Genomic DNA, 19786 nt, shown 5'->3' with positions numbered 1-19786 from the left:
AAGATGTGTAAAAAATGGGTGAGATTGCAAACAAGAATCCATTGATATGTGCTAGTTCTAGAAAGGGAGGGGAAAAACTAGTCAGGAAAGAGCAACAGAGGTGAAGAGGCAGAGGAATGCTCTGTAAGGACTTGCTGAGATGGAGCCATAAACAACACCACCTGGGTGTGGGAGGTTGGGAAACCCCAGGAGAGGATTAAGTGTTGCTATGTGAGAGAAGGAGCTAGGCTGAAGTCTATGAGGCAAAGAGACAAAGAGCCCGAATAAGATAAATGGCCACAGCTCTCTGATTATGAGCCAAGAATAGGATATTGACATGGGCCCCACAGCAAAGGGCTGTTGTTAATATATAGATCTTTACAGCCATACCCGAACAGGTGAAAACATCACAGTTGCCAACCAATCCAGCACTGTCCATTAGAAAGAGAATGTGAGCTGCATATATAATTTTAAATATTCTAATAGCCACATGTGTTAGTCAGCTCCAGCTGCTATAACAAAATACCACAGTCTAGGTGGTTTCAATAACAATTATTTATTTCTCACAGTTCTGAAGGTTGGGAAATTCTAGATTAAGGTCCTGGTCAATTCTGTTCCCTGGCAAGGACTCTCTTCCTAGGTTGCTGATGACCACCTTCTCCCTGTGTCCTCATGTAGTGGAAAGACAGAGCACTCTGGACTCTCCTAGTTCTTATAAGGATACCAATTCCATCATGGGGGCCTACCTTGAAGACTCACCTAAATTTATTCACCTCCCAAAGGTCCCACCTCCAAATACCATCTCCTCAAGGGTTAGGGCTTCAACATATGAATTTGTGATAGCACAAACATTCAATCCATAACACCACATTTAAAAAAAAAAAGTAGTACAGGTGAAATTAATTTTAATAATATATTTTATTTAATCCACTTTAGTCACAATACTATTTTAACACACAATCAGAATAAAACATTATTATTGAAAATGTTAGATTTTTTTCCATCCCAATCTTCAAAATTGGTGAAATCGGTGTCTATTTTCACTTATGCCACATGTCCACTTGGACTATCCACATTTCAAATGCTCAATAGCTACACATGGTACAGACCCCATCCCAAAGGAAAATGAATTTTATTCTCCTGACCTCCTAGGCTCTTAAGATCTTTTAAAAGCCTAGATTCTTAGAGCCAGAAAAGGCTTTTGGAATTGTTGTGTTCAGAGATCTCTACATATTCTCAACAGGTTTCCCCTTAGCATGTTTACTTTAAGCAATTTTATACCTGTTGAAATTTACCCTCCAATTCAATATTCACTGAAGGCTGACTTAATGCTTGGCCTGGACAGGTTAATCATGGTTTATGTTCCATCCACTCTCTCTTCTAAGGGAAACTAACTTACGCACACCCTCCTCCTTCAATCCCTAGGCACCCCATTTCTTCTTCTGCTCCTCACCACCTCTCTAGCCCAGCTGATCAAGAGTGGACACATGACTCCACCTGTGTAGTCACCTCGTGTGGAAAATCTCGCTTAATCAGGGCAGACAATTGACGGGCTAATCAGATGCCCTGTCAGGAATATAGAGGCAGAATCAGCAGATAGGGAGAAGCACCAAAAGACACACACAAAAGAAAAGAGAGAAGGAAAGAGAGAGCTACAAATATTGGGTTTCCAGCCACTTCTCAGATTTCTTCAGGGAGGGGTTTTAGGTGAGGGAGGTATGTGGCTTGGAATAGCTCCTTCTCAATCATGTTTCCACATCAGGTTTCCAAAAGCCATTTCATTTTAACAAAGTGATTCTCCAGATGAAAGACGTTTGAAAGACTCCGGTGAGAGATCTCAAAATAACTGTGATTCCTGGAGCTCCAGTAGAACCTTCCGGTACCAGCCACAGTCTGGGCTTCTGAGGTGCAGCTGTTTCGCTGTTTCTGGTTTTCCATGCGATTCCTGTACCTCTCATGGTCATGACTAGTTTTCAAGAATCCTTTATATGCTGAGGGAGCCTAAGTGAGTCTACCTTTCAACACAATTGCCTTCCACAGAGAGGGATATTTTCATATATATTTGAGCAAAGTTCTTTTCCACATCTCCCCTTGGACTTGTTTGCTCTCAATCTCATGCCAGGACTTAGCCTGCCACAGAAGTGATGGATTACCTTGGATCGCATCCCCAAGTAATTATATTCTGAAAATACCTCAGCACAGTGGCCTTCTGGGGACTCTTTTAAGTCTCACATCATCTACAGCAGTGGTTCTCAGCTGAGGCTGCACATTCAAACTGTCTGGGAAACTTCTAAAATATGCTGATGTCCCAGGCCCTCCCTCAGACTCTGAAATCAGAATCTCTGGGGGCAGATCCTTGGGTGCCCGTATTTCTTAAAAATCTCCGAAGTAATTCTAATGTGGAGCCACAGTTGAGAAATACTGTGTGATACACCGGATGTGCCCTCACATAGACTTGGGTTTCTATCACAGAAAACCAGATTCTGTTTTTAATTGTAAAAGAAAAGCGTACTTATTTTTTTTAAAGAATACGTAGTGAGGAATTATCCAAAGTGAGAAGGCTCACTCATCAGTAGTATTCCCAATGGTTCCACTCCCTAGAGGTAACTATTGCAGTTTTTTATGTGTCCTCCAAATATTGCCTATGTTTCTTTCAATATTTAAATCTCTCTCTCTCTCACACACACACACACACACACATTTTCGCTCTGGCTTTTTGTCTTACTAATATATCTTGATTATTAGCCTAGAATTTCTTTTTGTATAAATCTATGGGGCACAAGTCTAATTTTGTAACATGCATACATTGTATACTATGTATATAGATTGTATGCATTCAGGGCTTTTAGGGTAGCCATCACTCATATAATGTACATTATACTTATTTAGTAATTTTTTATCATACACCCCACACCCTACCCTAGCCTAGACATTTTCGATAAAGGAAAACAGTGTCGGGGTTTGAGTACTTCTTTTTCCAAATAATAAAACAAAAGTAAAACTAAAGTAATTAAAACAGTGTGATCTTATTACTGGAATAAATAAATTATTTGGTAGCACAGAATAGGAAGTCCAAAAAATAATCAATAGAATTGATGTAGTATATGAAAAAAATTGGCATTTCAAATTAGTGGGGAAATAAAGGATACACTATTCAATAAATAGTATTGAGATAATTATTGGGACAATTGTCTATTCATTTTTTTAAGTGGATTCCTATTCACAGCATATAAAAATTAATTAAAGATGAATTAAAGTCTTCACAATAAAACTAAGCATGTTAGAGGACATAATTTTACAATTCTGGCATGGGAAAATCTTACTAAATAATACATAAAATCTAGAAGTCACAAAATAACTATAGACAGATTAGGCTACATCAAATTTAAATTTTCTCTAAAAAGAAAGAGTAAAGAAAAGTAAAATAAAAATAAGAAAATGAAAGGTAAAATTTATAACGTATACAAAAGATTAATATCCATATTGAAAAATGTTTCTATATATCAATAAACTGACAATCAACAGAAAGCCAGACAAGGCTATCAACTGATAATCAATAGATAAACAAATATTAATTATAAAAGTATAAAAAGATATTCAATGCAACACTCAAAGAGTCAAAACAATCTTGATATCTTTTTTTTCACTTATCACATTGGCAAAATGTTTTAAAAGATTAATATCAAGAAACGGTGACTATTTGAAGAAACAGATATTCTCTAACTTTGGTAGAAAAATATGCTAAAAACAGTTTTTAAATGGCAATTTGGCACATCCCCACATCCTCTAATATACAAATTCATATGTCATTTGATTTAGCAATTTCACTTCTAAGTAATCTATTCTACAGAAAGCAATTACAAAATAAGTGCACACAAAGTTATATGTAATATGACATTTTTTGTAATAAAAAATTTTAATGACTGTCAATAAATAGTTAAAGTAAGGTATAGTTATATTGTAAATCTCACATAGCCATTAAAACAAATAAAATGACTCTATAAGAACTGATAAGTCAGGAAATTGACAAATTTCCTGTAAATTGTAAAAAGCCAGGTGCAAAACAATTTACAAAGAGGGTCCAATTTTTTTCCAAGAAAGATACACATGTACACTTTTAATCACATAGAGACAGGCCTTCAAGGAATAGCAGACTTTTAATAGAGATACTTCTAGGGAAGGGAGTGAGATTTCAAGCTTGAGAGTATGAAGCATAGAAGGAAACTTTATTAACACCATATATTTTATATATTTTTATAAGGCATATTTATTAAATTTGTAATTTTTTAAATAATGAGAGGAAGAAAGTTTTCTCACTGTTTTAATTTGTTCTTTATAAATTCTGAGTTTATCTTTCTTTCATATGTTTATTGGCCATCTTTATTTCTTTTCTTCTGAACAGCCTGTTCATGTACTTTGCCCATTTTTATTCAATTTCTTTCTTTGTACTGAATGTACTATTTAAAATTTTTAAAGTATATTTTGATCTTTTTTCTATTTATTGTTGTATTCTGATTTCATTTATACTACTTTCATCACATATGTTTTATTTATATTTTAGATAATTAAATGTATCAGTTTTTTCTTTGTATAGCATCTGAGTTTGGAGCCATGCTTAAAAAGTTATTTTCTAATTCAAGATTATTAAATAACTTACCAATTTAAAAATTCTTTTTATTGCTTAATATTTAATATATGTTGTTATTAATCAGGAATTTATTTGGAGACAGGAATACAGCTTTAACTTTCTTTTCCAAATGTCATTTCCCTCAATACCACTGGGTTGAAACACCATATTGCCACTTTTGTTGGCTCTTTCTGGACTCTTTATTTTTTCCCACTGATCTCTACAGTTTTGTACCCATACTTTAATAATTATATTTTCTGACATGCTTTAATTATCTAGTATGACTAGACTTCCTCTCTCATATTGCTTTTCCTGCCAGAAATTGTTTGTCTCTTCCCATTTTTCAATTGTAAAAGTTTATTGTGAGATAAGATGTTACAGACTCACTTTTACCTCTCCCTCTCCTCTAAATATAACTAAATACTCTGGAAATAACTCAACAGATGATTGTAAAAGGACTCCGAAATATGGAAAAAAGAAAAGTTGACTGGCTAGGGATTTCAGGATGTGAGACACCATAGTGATTTCCCTGGTTTTCTTTTTATCTCCCATATATCCCATGCTGAGCACCAGGGAGGCTTACAACCCCAAACCACCAACAGGCATAGCATTGAAAAACAAACACCAAAAGCCTGCTGGCTCTGGCCAGAGGCAGGGAAAGGGTAAGCCCAGAAGAGTCCTACCAGAGAAATAATCCTCTGGTCCTCATGCTGATCTGTGGCAGGACCAAGAGACTGATCTGCCTGCAGCAGCAATAGTAGCACAGCAGACTGAACCATTCCCCACCCCACACATGCTGGCAAGCCGCACTCTCTTCAGTGTCAACATCAGCAAACCCCATCCAATAATAGAATGGTGGTGGGTTCCACCTGCATCAACATCAGTAGGGTACCTATCCCATATCCAAGACAACAGGTAGGCCAATCCATCCTCAGGCGAAGCATTAGCAAACCTGAACAGGACCCGTCCCTTCCTCCATACCCATCAAACAGCCCACGAGGCACCTGCAGTAATAAAGCAGGAGCCCAAATAGCAGCAGAAGAACAAGGTAGACTATTAGCATTGCAAGAACTCTGAAAACAAATTGTCATGGAACTATAACTCACAAAAGTAGACCAGAACTTATACGCTAAGCCCCAAAAGGGTGACTGCTTACTAAAAATAAAAGATCTAAGTAGTATGAAGCATGTTCTAAAATAATACCCAAAATGTCCAGGGTACAAGTGGAAGTCATTCATCTTACCAAGAACAAGGAAACATACAACTTTTATGAGAAATGACAATCAACTGATGCCAACTTTGAAGAGACTCAGATGTTGGAATTATCTGAAAAGGATTTTAAGGCAATCATTATAAAAATGTTTCAACAAACAGTTACAGATTTTCTTGAAACACATCAAAAACACACAATTCCAACAAAGAAATAGAAGTCATAAAAAAGAAACAAATGCAGAAAATAGAATTTAAAGAGACAATAACAAATAAAAAGTCACCAGATGAGCTTAGTAGTAGAGTGATGATGATAAGACAGAATCAGTGAACTTAAGGACAAATCAATAGAATTTACTTGTACAAAAAAGGAAAAATAAACAAAAAATTTAACAGAGCCTCAGAGGCTCTGTAGGATCAAAACAAAGATATAATATTTTATCATTAGCATCTCAGAGAGAGAAGAAATATACTGTGTTGCTGAAAAAGTATTCAAAAAACATACTGGCTGAAAACTTTCAAATTTGGTGAAATGCATAAACACATAGATTCAAGAAGCCAAGTGAACCTAAATAAGATAAATCCAAGGAAATCCACACTAAGACACATTATAATTAAACTTCTGAAAACTGAAACGAAATAAAACAAAATCTTAAAAACAGCCAAAGAGAAATGATGCATTACCTACAGACAAACACAAATTTGAATGACAGAGGATTTCTCGTTTGAAACTATGAAGGCCAGAAGGACCTGACACAATATATTTCAATCCCTGAAAGAAGAAAATCCAAAACCATGAATCCTGTATCTAGCAAAACTATCCTTCAAGAATGAAGGGGGAAATAAAGACATTATCAGGCAAAGGAAAACTAAGAGAATTTGTCACCAACAGACCTACCATTAAACAATGGCTAAAGGAAGCTCTCAAACAGAAAGAAGGTGAGAACAAAGGAAGGCTGGGGCTGGGTGCAGTGAGTCACACCTATAATCCCAGCACTTTGGGAGGCCAGGGTGGGAGGATCACTTGAGGCCAGGAATTTGAGACTAGCCTGGGCAATATAGCAAGACCCCAGTTCTACAAAAGAAAAATAATAGCATTAGCTGGGAGTGGTGGCATCCATGGAATATTCATCATAATAGACTATATACTGGGTCATAAAACAGCTATTAACAAATGTTAAGAAATTGAAATCAAATAGAGTATGTTTTCTAACCTTATGGAATAAGACTAGAAATCAGTAGCAAAACAAAAACAGAAAAACCTTTAGGCACATGGAAGTTAAATGACACACTTTTAAATAAGCCATAGGTAAATGAGAAAGTCTCAAAGGGCGTTTTTACAGACTAAATACAACTTAACAAAAATGAAGAAACAACATCAGAATTTGTAAGATGCAGCTAAAGTGGCAAAAGAAAAATTTATAGCACCAAAGGCTTACATTAGAAAAGAGAAATAATCGCAAGTCAGTAATTTAAGTCGCTAGCTCAAGAAACAACAAAAGGAAGAGCAAAATATACCGAAGTCAAGCGGAAGGAAAAAAATTAAGATAATGACAGAAATAAATGAATCTGAAATAGGAAAAGCAATAGAAAGAATTCATGAAATAAAAAGCTGGTTATTAGTGGAAAAAATTGATATAATTGATAACTCTCTAGCTAGACTGGTAAAGATCAAAAGTAAGAAGACACAAATTACCAATATCAAACAGGAGATATTGCCACAGATTTTACAGTCATTAAAAGAATAATATGAAATATATGAACAACTTTACACTCATAAATTCAACAATTTCAAAGAAATGGACTAATTCCCAAAAATCACAATGAAAACTCAGCCAAGATGAAATAGAAAATCTGAACAGCTCTACAACTATTTAAAAAATTGAATTTATAATTACAAATCTCTCCAAAAAGAAATTTCCAGGTCCAGATGATTTCACTGGAGAATTTTGCCAAGCATTTAAAGAATTAACACCAATTTCACACTATCTCTTTTTCAAAATAGAAAAGAAGCAATCACTTTCTAACTCATTTTATGAGGCCAGTACTACCTTGATATGAAACCAGACACGGTACAAAAGAAGAAAAAATACAAATCAATAATTCTTATGAACTGGGATGCAAAAATCCTTAACAAAATTTCATTAAATTGAATCCAGCAATGTATAAAAAAGAATAATAAGCCATGACCAAATGAGATTTATTTCAGCTATGTAAGGCTGGTTCAATATTTGAAAATCATTCAATGTAATTCACCATATCGACAGACTAATATAAAAAATCACATGATCATACTGATCATTGCACGAAAAGCATGTAACAAGCAAACACTCATTCAAGATAAAAACCCTCAGCAAAGTAGGAATAAAGGGAAGCTTCCTCAGCTTGATCAAGAACCTCTACAAAACATCTGCAACTAACATCATATTTAATCGTGAAAGACTGAATGCTTTTCCTTTGAGATTGGAAAGGATTTCTGTCTTATCTCTCTTACTTAACATAGTACTGAGAGGTCTAGCCAGTGCAATAAGGCAAGAAACCAGAAAGATCATACAGAATGGAAAGGGAAAAATAAAATGCTCTATTTTCAGATTACATAATGGTCTGTGTAGAAAATCCCAAGGAATTTACCAAAGAAAAAAGAAAAAGAAGAAGAAAAAGAAGAAGAAACCTAGACCTAATGAGTTCAACACAGTTGCAGGATTTAATATTAACATAAAAATTAATTGCATTTCTCTATATTAACAATGTATATGTGGAAACTGAAGTATAACAATGCAATATCATTTTCAATTGCTCCAAAGAAAGTTAAGTACTTCGTATAAATTTAACAAAATACCTACAGAATCTGTATATTGAAAATTATAAAATATTCATTAAAAAAAACAAAGAAGACTCACATAAGTGCAGAAATTTTCCATGTTAAAGGATTGGAAGACTCAACATAGTAAAAATGTCATTTCTCCCCAAATTAAACTACATGTCTAACAGGATTCCTATCAAAATCCCAGCAAGGTTCTGTAGATAGAGACAAGTTCATTCTAAAGTTTATATGGAAAGTAAAAGTCCCAAGGATCTCTAAAACTTTTGACAAATAACCCTGAAATGGGAGGAAGAACTCTACCTAGTGTATTGCTTATTATAAAGCTACCATGCAACTTACTATATAATATTAGTCAAATACTCAAAAGAGTGTGGTATTGTCAGAGATATAGGCACATCAATGGAAGAGAATGGAGAACCCAGAGATAAAGTTATACAAATATGCCCAGTTGATTTCTTGACAAAGCTGAAAAACCAATCCAAAGAAAGAAGGAGAGCCTTTTAAAAAAATGGTGCTTGAGAAATTGGACATACAGAGGCAAAAAACAAAACAAAACAAAAAACAAAAAAAAACTAAATTTGACTAAACTTGACATATTATATACAAATTAATTCAAAATAGATTAAAGACCTAAATGTGAAGTATAAAACTATAAATCTTTTAGGAAAAAGTAGAAAATATTTGGGAACTGGGGCTAGGCAAAAAGTTCTTATGCTTTGCACTAAAAGCACAATCCATTAAAGGAAAAATTGATTAACTGGACTTTATGAAAATTAAACACTTTTGCTCTGTGAAAGACCTTTTCAAGAGGATAGAATAAAAAATTACAGAGTGGGAGAGAATATCTGCAAACCATACATCTAATAAAGGACTTATATCTAGAATATATAAAGAACTCACAACACTCAACAGTGAAAAACAACAACAACAACAAAACAATCCAATTAGAATATAGTGGGGTTATTTGTGTTTTGGTTTGTTTAAGTTCTTTAGAGATTCTGGATATTAGACCTTTGTCAGATGCATAATTTGAAACTATTTTCTCCCATTCTATAGGTTGTCTGTCTACTATGTTGCTAGTTTCTTTTGTTGCACAGAAGCTCTTTAGTTTAATTAGGTCCAACTTGTCAATTTTTCTTTTTGTTACAATTGCTTTTGGAGACTTAGCTAAAAATTCTTTACCAAGACTGATTTTCTAGGTTTTCTTGTAGGATTTTTATAGTTTGAGGTCTTACATTTAAATCTTTAATTCATCTTGAGTGAATGTTTGTATATGGTAAAAGGCAGGGGTCCAGTTTCATTCTTCTGCATATAGCTAGCCAGCTATCCCATTTATTGGGGCAAAAGGCATAAATAGACATTTTACTGAAGAGGAAATACAGATGATAACATGAAAAGATGGTCAGCATCATTGCCCATTACGCAAACACAAATTAAAACCACAATGAGATATCACTATCCATCTATCAGAATGACTAAAATAAAAAATAGTAATAACACCAAATTCTGGTAAGGATGCAGAAACTCTATTACTCATATATTGCTGGTGGTAACATAAAATATTATGGCCGTTCTATATAAACATTAATAGTTTGAAGTTTCTTTTAAACTAAAAACTTAGCATAAAACCCAGATATCACATTTTCAGGCATTTATCCCAAATAAATGAAAATTTATGTTCATGCAAAAAACTTGTACATGAATGTTCATAGCATCTTTATTTGTAACAGCCAAATATTAGAAACTACCCAAATGTCCTCCAATGAATAAATGAGTGAATGCTTAAGCAAACTGTAGTACATCCATACTATTCAATACAACACAGTAACAAAAAGGAACCAACTATTGATACGCATAACAACCTGGATAGATCTCAAGATTATTATGCTGAATGGAAGAGGCCAATATCATAAGGTTACATAATGCATGACTATATAACATTCTTGAAATAAAATTATATAAATGGACAACAGATTAGTAGTCTCAAAGGGTTAGGGATGGGACCATGGCTTTAAAAGGGAAGTATAAAGAAGCCTTGCAGTGATGATATGGTTAGTGATATTTTGATTGTGGCAATAGTTACATGAAGCTAATGTGACAAAAACTGTATACAATCACACACACAAACACACACACACACAATGAGTACATGCATAGCTGATAAAATCTGATAAGGTCTGTGGATCGTACCAATGTCAATTACCTGGTTTTGATATTGTACTATAGGTATGTAAATGTTAACAGTGGCGAAGGCTGGGTGAAGGGGGGCACTCATAGACTCATGAATCTATAAATATTTCATAATGTTTTTTAAAAATATACAAGCCAGCTATTCTTTAACAGCCAGAGTGTTTGCATGATTCTTTGTTTACAAAATCCACAACTAGATCAACCATAAATTTAATGAGATGGATCTGTCAAACATCAATTCATATATTAAAATTACACAGATTAAAATTTTGTATTCACAAGGTCTGAATAACTCAAGAAAACTTAATATTCACATTTGGCTCTCAAGAGTGATTTTATCCTTCACCCTGACCTACCAAAGTGGTAGCATCTATCTGTATACTGGTAAACCTAAAATGTTTGGAGTACCTTGGGCTTTGGATCCCCGTAGAAGTCATCTAACTTCAGTTTCTCCTTAAACACAACTTTAAAAATAGTAATAAATAGTTATAATATATTGAGCACTGAACTATTCAACTACCTGCTACAGAGTGGAAGGTAAGAACAGGACTCACAAGAAATGAGAAAACATGGTCCCAATTCATATTATTTTAGATACAGAGGATGGGATGCAGAGGTTGTTTTTAAGCCTTTGGAAATGCATTTAGGAGCAAAAAGAGGGACAAAAAATGGCAGTAGAAGAGATATTCAGAATGTAAATATTCAGTGTGATATAAGTATTTATTGAACACTTATCTTGAGCACCTGTAGAGTGATGACCAACTGAAGCTCTGGGTTTGCCAGGGAGCCTGTGGCTTTGGGACTTGCAACAAAGTATCATTAGTACTGCTCCAACGCTGTCACTACTGCCACTGTTAGCTGTTATTCATTTACGTAACACAGATGTATTAGGCACTGTGCTAAGCACTCCACAAATATCATCTACAAATATAATCGCCACACGAACCTTGTGAGATGGCATTACTATCCAGATTTTAAAGAAGAAGAAACTGAGAAGACATGTCTAGATACTTTCCCAAGGTCAGCAACTAGAAAATGTCAGAGTCCTGATAGGAACCCGGGTCATCTGACTTCAAAATTCATACTTTTAACCAATAGTCTATGTGTCTTCACCAAAGCCTGTTTAAAACCCTCCTCTTTGCTACTCTTTTCTCATGGCTTCAGGTGCTTTCCACCAGGCCTCAGGTGGCACCTCTGGGCAGTTCCCTGACTTCATATTGTCTCTGCTCTACCTCCTTCCCCTAACAAATTCCATGTGGAGGATTGGGCACAGCCAATATAGCAGGCAAGGCAGATCTTCAGCAGAGCCTTGTATGAGGAGAGTTGGGTGGGTAGGTATGGAGGCAGATGATGAGAGAAGAGTGTATGTGTGAGTGTGAGAAATGTTTTTTCCCTGATTTTATTATAACGGTAAAACGAGTTAGTAAATGAGTCTCTTTCTCGAGTCTTTTTAACTAAAACATTTGAGTTAGTGGTATAAGGCCAGGAAATATGCAAGGACAAAGAACTACCTGGTTGGATTCTTCTATTTCTGACACCATCTCAGGGGCTTGATCTCAGCCGGCTTCAGAGTAAACAAGGTTACTACCTTGTTCCCATTATCTAATGCTACATAAAAACCACCCCCAAACTTAGTTAATATACATTGTTATTATCTCTCAATGTTCTATGGGCTGAGTGGGCTGAGCTGAGTGGTTCTTATTCAGGGTCTCTCATATAGTTGCAGTCAGATAGTGGTGGGGGCTGGAGTTATTTAAAAGTTTCTTTCCTTACATGTCTGAAGGCTAAGTTTGAATGGCTGGAAAATCTGAGGACTGGTTGGGATTCAATCCTTGTAGCCTCTCCATGTGGCCAACTTGGACTTTCTCACAGTATGCTGGTCTCAGAGTAATTGGCAGTCATGGGCTTGGGCCAGCTTGTATTGGCTTATAAGAGCTGATTCTGCATATCTCCTCCCAAACCTGTGTTCAGTGCTATCATTTTGGAAGCCATGGTGGGAGTATTTACACCATGAAAATTGGCAAACACTGCAAATTAAGGAACTTTTTTTTTTCTCCAGAGAGCCAGTTTACTAGCACATGACTCTACATGGTAGTTGGCTTCTGCCAAAGTAACTGAGACAAGAAACCCAGAAGGAAGATGTAAACCTTCATAGAACCTAGCAATGGTTGTCCCAGAATGTTGCCTTCTTCTCTTTCTATTGGTCAACCAAGTCTCTAAGGCTAGCCTATATTTAAGAGGTGGAGAATTAGCATTAAACTCCTGTGGGAAGAGTAGCAAAGAATTTGTACAGTCTAGGAGCTGGCACAGAGTAGGCACTCAATAAATGCTTGATTAATGAATGAGTGTGTAGTCATTTTAAACACTGATCTGCACATCCTTAAGCCACTCTAAATGCACAAGTCCTTTTAGAAACTTTTACTTCAACCAACGATTTTTAAATCTCTGAGTAGCCTAACTCTAAAACTGCTTGATATAGATCTATTTACACTCTGTCCGCAGGTATTTGCAGACCTGTTTACTCAGGCCTTTCCTGGTTAACTGTACTGGTTTCCTGTACTCAATTGGTAGTACTACACACATTACAATCACAGATTGCTTGCTTTATAGACGTTTATAGATGTGCTGTTTAGGTTGGCTTTATTTCCTTAAGTAAACTGCAAGTTTCTTAAGAGAGTTCGCATGTATTTCTTTGCCACTCCTCCTTCCTACCATGCCAACTACAGATAGTTTTAAACACATACACATGAATACTTACAACATAGGTGGTGGTTAGAGATTATAACCCTTAAAAGTGAAGGAAAGAAGGAGCGGTACTAAAATTTTTTAATTGCTATGTTTTAGAGCCTTCCATAAATGTTCTCATTTAACTCTTCTATTTACCTAATGAAGCAGGTATTGTTTCCATTTCACAGTTGAGGGAAATGAGCCTCAAGAAGGTTTAGACATTTGGTCCAAGCCATACCGGGAGGTGGAGAAGCTGGGATTCAAATGAAGACCCACATGGTTCCAAGGTCTGAGGCTTACGCATTCTTCAGGCTGCCTTCCCACTGCTTTCTACATTCCCTATCCTCTCGCATTCTGGCCTCTCTCCTTAAAGCACCTACAAGAGTCATAAAAATGCTAATGCTTCTAAACTCCAAATAGAGTAATAAGCATTTCAAGTTCTTCTCTGGTAAAAATGTCCTTAGAAAGCTTAGTAAAACAAGAAGCTTAGAGCGTCTTATACTAGGAGTGGAGTGAGCCTGGTAGCAGGGGGGACGAGCTAAGGGGATAATGCAATAACTCAGGCAAAGCGTGTTGATGGGTTAGACCAAGGTAGTAGTGGTGGGGTAGAGAGATGTAAACCATTTGGAGAGATATTAAGAAGACTGACTCAACAGACTAGTGATTGATTGGATTGTGCAGGTGCTGATCAATTATTTTAGAACCATCATTCTGGATGCTGCTGGGAGGTAAGACTGGAGAGAGGAGGCCCAGATGTGAGGTTTCTGTATTCCTAGAAAAAATTGATAACGGCTTTAAACTAGGGTAATATCTGTGGAGGTGGGGAGAAATGGATGGATTTGAGAAATAATATGGAGTTCGAATCTGCTGAATGTGTTCCCAAATCAGATGTGAAAATGTGAGGAAGTTTGGAGGGGTGTTTAGGGTGAAATCCAGAAATCTACCACCAGGAACTTTTCACAGACCTAGGGGACACAGAAGGGGGAGCAGATTTCAGGTGAGGATGAATTCTGGATATGGTCTAGTCTGAGGTGAATGTATAACCAGGCACTGGCAGCCAGTATGCAATTGCATTTAAAACAAAGCAAACATCTCTTATCTAAATGAGTCTTTGCTCCCTGTATAGGTTATAGATGATTGTGCCAAATACTATATGTGGCAGGGTTCTGTGCCAAGAAATAAAGGGCTCTGCAATTCTCAACATTTTCATTTGACAGTGGTTCAACTTTCTTTCCAAAAGCCGTTTATCATCCTGTAGGCACCTCTGTCATAAACAAGATGTCTTTATTGAGCCTTCCAAAGCTGATAAGAGTTGTATGATTCAATCAGTGACAGAGACTCATATAACTCATAGGAAGTGTTGCAGGGAGATTTCAGTGGTCTCTAGGAGCACAGGGTCTGCCTTCACACACACACACACACACACACACACACACACAGAGAGAGAGAGAGAGAGAGAGAGAGAGAGAGAGAGACCTCATGTATATTTTCTTGGAAGAACTCATAGGGTCAGGCACTAAGATATGTTTGTACACTTCTGCCCTGCATGCGGCAGCACAGCCATTGTTTGAACAAGGTACCTGCATGTCAGAACAGGCATCCTGGGCCCCTTTTTTTCCTGCTACACTCCTGAGAAAGAAGGGAAGCATTCACACCAGCGAAACAGCAAATCAAGGCTCTCCAGAGAGCTGCTTTTCTGCACATATTTTATAAGAATCAGCTCTCTAAGAGTCTACCCAATCAGTAGGAAGGCAAAGGAGGTATGGATGGCCCTAGCCCAAAGGAGTCCACTTACAGTTGCTTCACTAACATGCTCATTATACAGCTCTTAGAATAGGCACCTAATACCAAGCCCCGATTAGATTCCTACACCCACTGTGAGAGCCCACCACTGCAGCTCAAAGCTGACTTCGCCTAGCCATGGTCTGCCACCCCACCAGGTGGGGACCGGCTGCCATGGAAACAGCCACCCTCCCCACCCAATGGAGTATTTCTTGATCTAATTCCAACTCTGCCCATAGATGCCTTCCAAAATCCCCCCCTCGTGTTAAGGTTCCCTAGAGTGAAACCCACTAAATAAGAATTTTCTTACCTGTGAGAAGTCCTGGTGACCGGCAGTGGAAAAAATACTAAGTTCTAACAGAAGTGACAGGGACTCACAGAGCAAATGTGTTCGTTTTAAAAGAAGAAAGGTGACTTCATCCCTGGTGCCGTGGAGTTTAAAAAGAGCAACGAGTGCTGCCTGGCTGAGCCAACTCTGCTTCATCAGTGATGACTCCATCCAAATTATGCAGCCATTGCCCAGACATGCTCAGCCTTCAGAAGGTAAATCGCTGGAATCTGACTAACCCTGTTGTTTTCAAAGAGCTTCAGAAAATCCTAAGGCACCAATTGCCTTAACTGGCACCAGAGAAAGAAAAATTATGCACTTATTTCCTTGAGTCATGTCATTATCTCCCCCAAATCCAACTCTGAAAAACAGTACTCTAGGGAAGGAAAATAGATATTTAGACTTTCTGAGAGGTGAAAATTACTGGGGAAGTGGAAGCAGGGAGGAAGAAGAAGCGAAGGTATTTCAGCCAGGAGGAGGGGCTGTAAGAAGCTGGAAATGACCAAATTGCTAAGAAATTTTCAGAGCTATGAATCTGTAAGCAAAGGTGACAAACAGGTGACTGGACTTTGCAAAGGGAAAAATATTCAGTTAAGAAAAGGAGGTTAGTTGCTACAGGAAAAAGTGTGACAGCCTTTCTCAAAAATGCAACCAATTTTTATTTTCTTTTTGTTGAACATAATGCCACTCATTCAATATGGGGTCATTTGTAATATTAACATATCAGTTCAAAACATGCCTGCGTTCTAAACAGAAGGATTTGGAGAAAGAGACAGGATTTTTTTTCTTCTGTATGTTAAAGGTGAGGCTGGAGGAATTAGATTTGTAACATGGGATTCAAGGTCATTTCAAGCTACCCAGTGGGCCAATCACCTACTCTTGATGCCAAGTCCTTGGTCTAAACTTTGGACAAGAGTTCTGGCTGGGGTGCTAGGGAAAGGAATGGTAATGAGTGTGATCTCTGTTGGAAGTGGGGCAGAGGGTTGAGCTCAGCAGCCAGCTGCCCTTTCTCCCAGGCTTCTATTTCAGGAGAGTATAAGGTGACTCTGGGTCATTAGGCTTCTATCTAATTTCTTGCTCAGCTATTTTGAGGCTTTGAGATTTTCCTGTGTCAAGTTTCACTCCAAAGAGGCTAAAACAAGAAAAAATGCACTTTTTATTTAGATAGAGGTATTCAGATCCAACATTAGAGATTTTCGAAATCACAGATTTAAGACATGTCAAAGTGGCTTACAAAGGGAACTTGCAAATCTTTTGTTTGGGGTGTGAATAATGATAGGAGTAGAAGACGGGCAGCGTTTCATCAATGGTAAGAACAATGAAGGCAGGAGTCATTTTTATTTGGTTCATCATAATGTCCTTGAAACCTAGCAAAGAGAGTACCATACAGTAGGTGCTCAGCAGAAGGAGAGTGAATGGTGTCAGTCCTTTTCCATTCCAGGTCTCTAGAATAGATCTGCTGAGAATGCTTAAAGTCACCATCTTGTTGGTGAGGCATTTGGAGAGAGCATGAGCCAGTGGGTCTTGTAGAACGAAAAAGAACTTGGTTATTTGCTTTGTCTCAGCCTCTAGGTTCATTGCCAAAGTTAGAATGGAGCAAAGAAGGCCAATTGCTGGACTCAGGAGCCTCCTTTCCTCCCCAGGAGCCTCCTTTGCCTATGAGCTAGACTCTCATGTCTTTTCCTAAGGCCAGGACTCAACCCAATGGGTAATCTGCCAATTGTCTTCAATTTTTTTTTGTTCTCAAAAGCCTATTAAAATTTTCAAACTTAGAGAAAAGTCAGAATAATTGTACAGTGAACACCTATATACTTACCACCGGGTTTCTTCAATTAACATTTTGCCACGTTAGTTTTATCCCATGTTGATTCTCTGCTCATTTCTCTATCCATCCAGCAACTCATTTAATTATTTTTGTTATTGTCTTTCAAAATAAGTTTCAGACATTAGTATATTCCCCCCAAATACTTCAATATTATTAGCCAGAGTTCAATATTTATTTACAATTTCTTTGTTTCTATTCAGATAAAATCTGTATACAGTGCAATGCACAGATCTTAAGTGTATCATTTCCAAGTTCCTCTAGACACATACACCTGTGCAATCCAAACTCCTACCAAGATACAGAACATAACCATCACTCTGGAAAGTTTCTTTATGTCCCTTCCTAGCAAACCCCTATCTCACATCCCAAGAGATAACCAATCTTCTGATGATTTTCACCAGATTAGTTTTGCCTGTTTTAGTATTTTATATTAATGGAACCATACAAATTGTATTCTTTTATGCAAATTTGTGTGCACTCAGCATGTTTTGGGGGTTCATTCATCCATGTTGTTGCTTGTATCAGAAGTTGGTTTCTTTTCATTGCTGAATAGTATTTTACTCTATGAATATGCCAGTATTCTAGTAATGGATACCTGGGCTTCCAGCTTAGGGCTATTAGGAATGAAGCTAATGTGAACATTTTTGCACATGTCCCTGTGAACATTTGTTTTCAGATCCTTTGAGTAAATACGTAAGAGTGAAATTGTTGGTTCTTAGGGTAGCTATATGCAATTTTATACAAAATTGCAAGATCTTTTCCAACATTCTTATGTAATTTTCCTCTCCCACCACCAATGTATGAAAGCTTTAATTGCTTCATGTCCTCACCAAAATTTCGTGTTGTCAGCCTTTAATTTTAGCCACACTGGTAGATGTGGAATGGTATCTCATTGTGGTTCTAATTTGCATTTCCTTGATGACTAAAGATATTTCATGTTTTTCATGTGTTTATTGACCATTCACTTATTACCTTTTGTGAAGTGTCCAAAATTTTTGACCATTTAAAAAATTTTTAAATTGTTTTATTATTGTTTTAGATGTTCTTAGCATATCATGGACACCAATACTTTTTTATTTTTTTGAGATAGGGTCTCACTCTGTTGCCCAAGTAGGAGTGAAGTGGCTTGATCATGGCTTACTGCAGCCTTGACCTCCCAGGCTCAAGTGATCCTCTCACCTCAGCCTCCTGAGTAGCTAGGACTACTGGTGCATGCAACCACACCCAGCTAGTTTTTGTATTTTTAGTAGAGGCAGGGTTTTGCTATATTGCCCAGGTTAATCTTGAGTTCCTGAGCTCAAGCAATCCAGCTACCTTGGCCTCCCAAAGTGTGGGGATTATAAGCATGAGCCACCATGCCCAGCCAGATACCAATACTTTTTAAGGTAAGTTTTGCAAATATTTTCTTCTGTCCTGTGGTTTGTCTATACATTTTCTTAATGATGTTTCTGTGCTTCTTTTCATTTCTTTAAATTTTTATTATCTAACATAATATTTTTGCTTTTTTAGTTTTTACCTCACTCAAAGTCATACAGATATTTTCCTACATTTTCTTCTGGAAGTTTTTTAAATTTTAGCTTTTATATTTAGGTCTATGGTCCATCACAAATTAATTTTTGTGGACGGCATAAGTTAAAGCAAGGTTAATTTGTTTCCATATAAAATGTAGTTATTTCAACACCATTTGTTGAAAAGACTTCCTTTCCCAATTAGGTCACTTTGGCACCTTTGTTGAAAATAAAATAAATGTATAAGCATGTGTCTATTTTTATTTCTGGGTTCCTTATTCTTTCCATCAGTCTGTTTGTTGATCCTTATACCAGTTGCAGACTCTCTTGATTACTATAGCTTTAGGGTAAGTCTTGACGTCCAACAATGTGAGTCATGTGATCTCATATCAAATTGGAGGAGGGTCCTGGTGGAAGGTGATTGGCTCAAGGGGGCAGATTTCCCTCTTATCTTCCCCTTGCTGTTCTCATGATAGTGAGTTAGTTCTCACAAGATCTGATTGCTTGAAAGTGTGTGGCTCCTCCCCTTTTCTCTCTTTCCTGCTCCACCATGGTAAGATGTGCCTGCTTCCCCTTCACCTTCTGCCATGATTGTAAGTAAGTTTCCTGAGGCCTCACAGCCATGCTTCTGTACAGCCTGTGGAACTGTGACTCAATTAAACCACTTTTCTTTATAAATTACCCAGTCTCAGGTAGTTATTTATAGTGGCGTGAGAACAGATTAATACATCATCCAACTTAAATTTCTTTTTTCAAGACTTCTTTGAATATTCTAGGTTCTTAGAAT

General features: G+C 36.9%; 1 protein-coding gene and 1 long non-coding RNA gene across 6 annotated transcripts in view, besides 1 other annotated feature; one reads left to right on the top strand and one right to left on the bottom strand.

Moving 5' to 3' along the window:
- The window catches only part of AMOTL1 (angiomotin like 1), a 170289-nt gene extending 154503 nt beyond the window's left edge, over positions 1-15786 (bottom strand). For all 3 annotated transcript variants that reach the window (XM_005273798.5, XM_011542626.3, XM_006718772.4), the window contains exon 1: positions 15649-15786. The gene's annotated coding sequence lies outside the window, so the exon portion shown is untranslated. The remainder of the gene's footprint in view (positions 1-15648) is intronic.
- PIWIL4-AS1 (PIWIL4 antisense RNA 1) overlaps positions 1-19786 on the top strand; it is a 195024-nt gene that overhangs the window by 18110 nt on the left and 157128 nt on the right. The gene's annotated exons all lie outside the window — the stretch shown is intronic.
- Positions 15063-16262: an enhancer, noted in NCBI's record as "MED14-independent group 3 enhancer chr11:94439150-94440349 (GRCh37/hg19 assembly coordinates)". NCBI's record gives its function as "activates an origin of replication core promoter dependent on BRD2, BRD4, P300/CBP and CDK7 cofactors, and independent of MED14, by STARR-seq in HCT116 cells {active_cell/tissue: HCT116}" and the evidence as "EXISTENCE:reporter gene assay evidence [ECO:0000049][PMID:35650434]".

This window comes from Homo sapiens, chromosome 11 (genome assembly GCF_000001405.40).
Source record: "Homo sapiens chromosome 11, GRCh38.p14 Primary Assembly".
Classification (NCBI taxonomy): Eukaryota; Metazoa; Chordata; class Mammalia; order Primates; family Hominidae; genus Homo; species Homo sapiens.
This window is presented reverse-complemented; position numbering and strand designations above follow the sequence as displayed.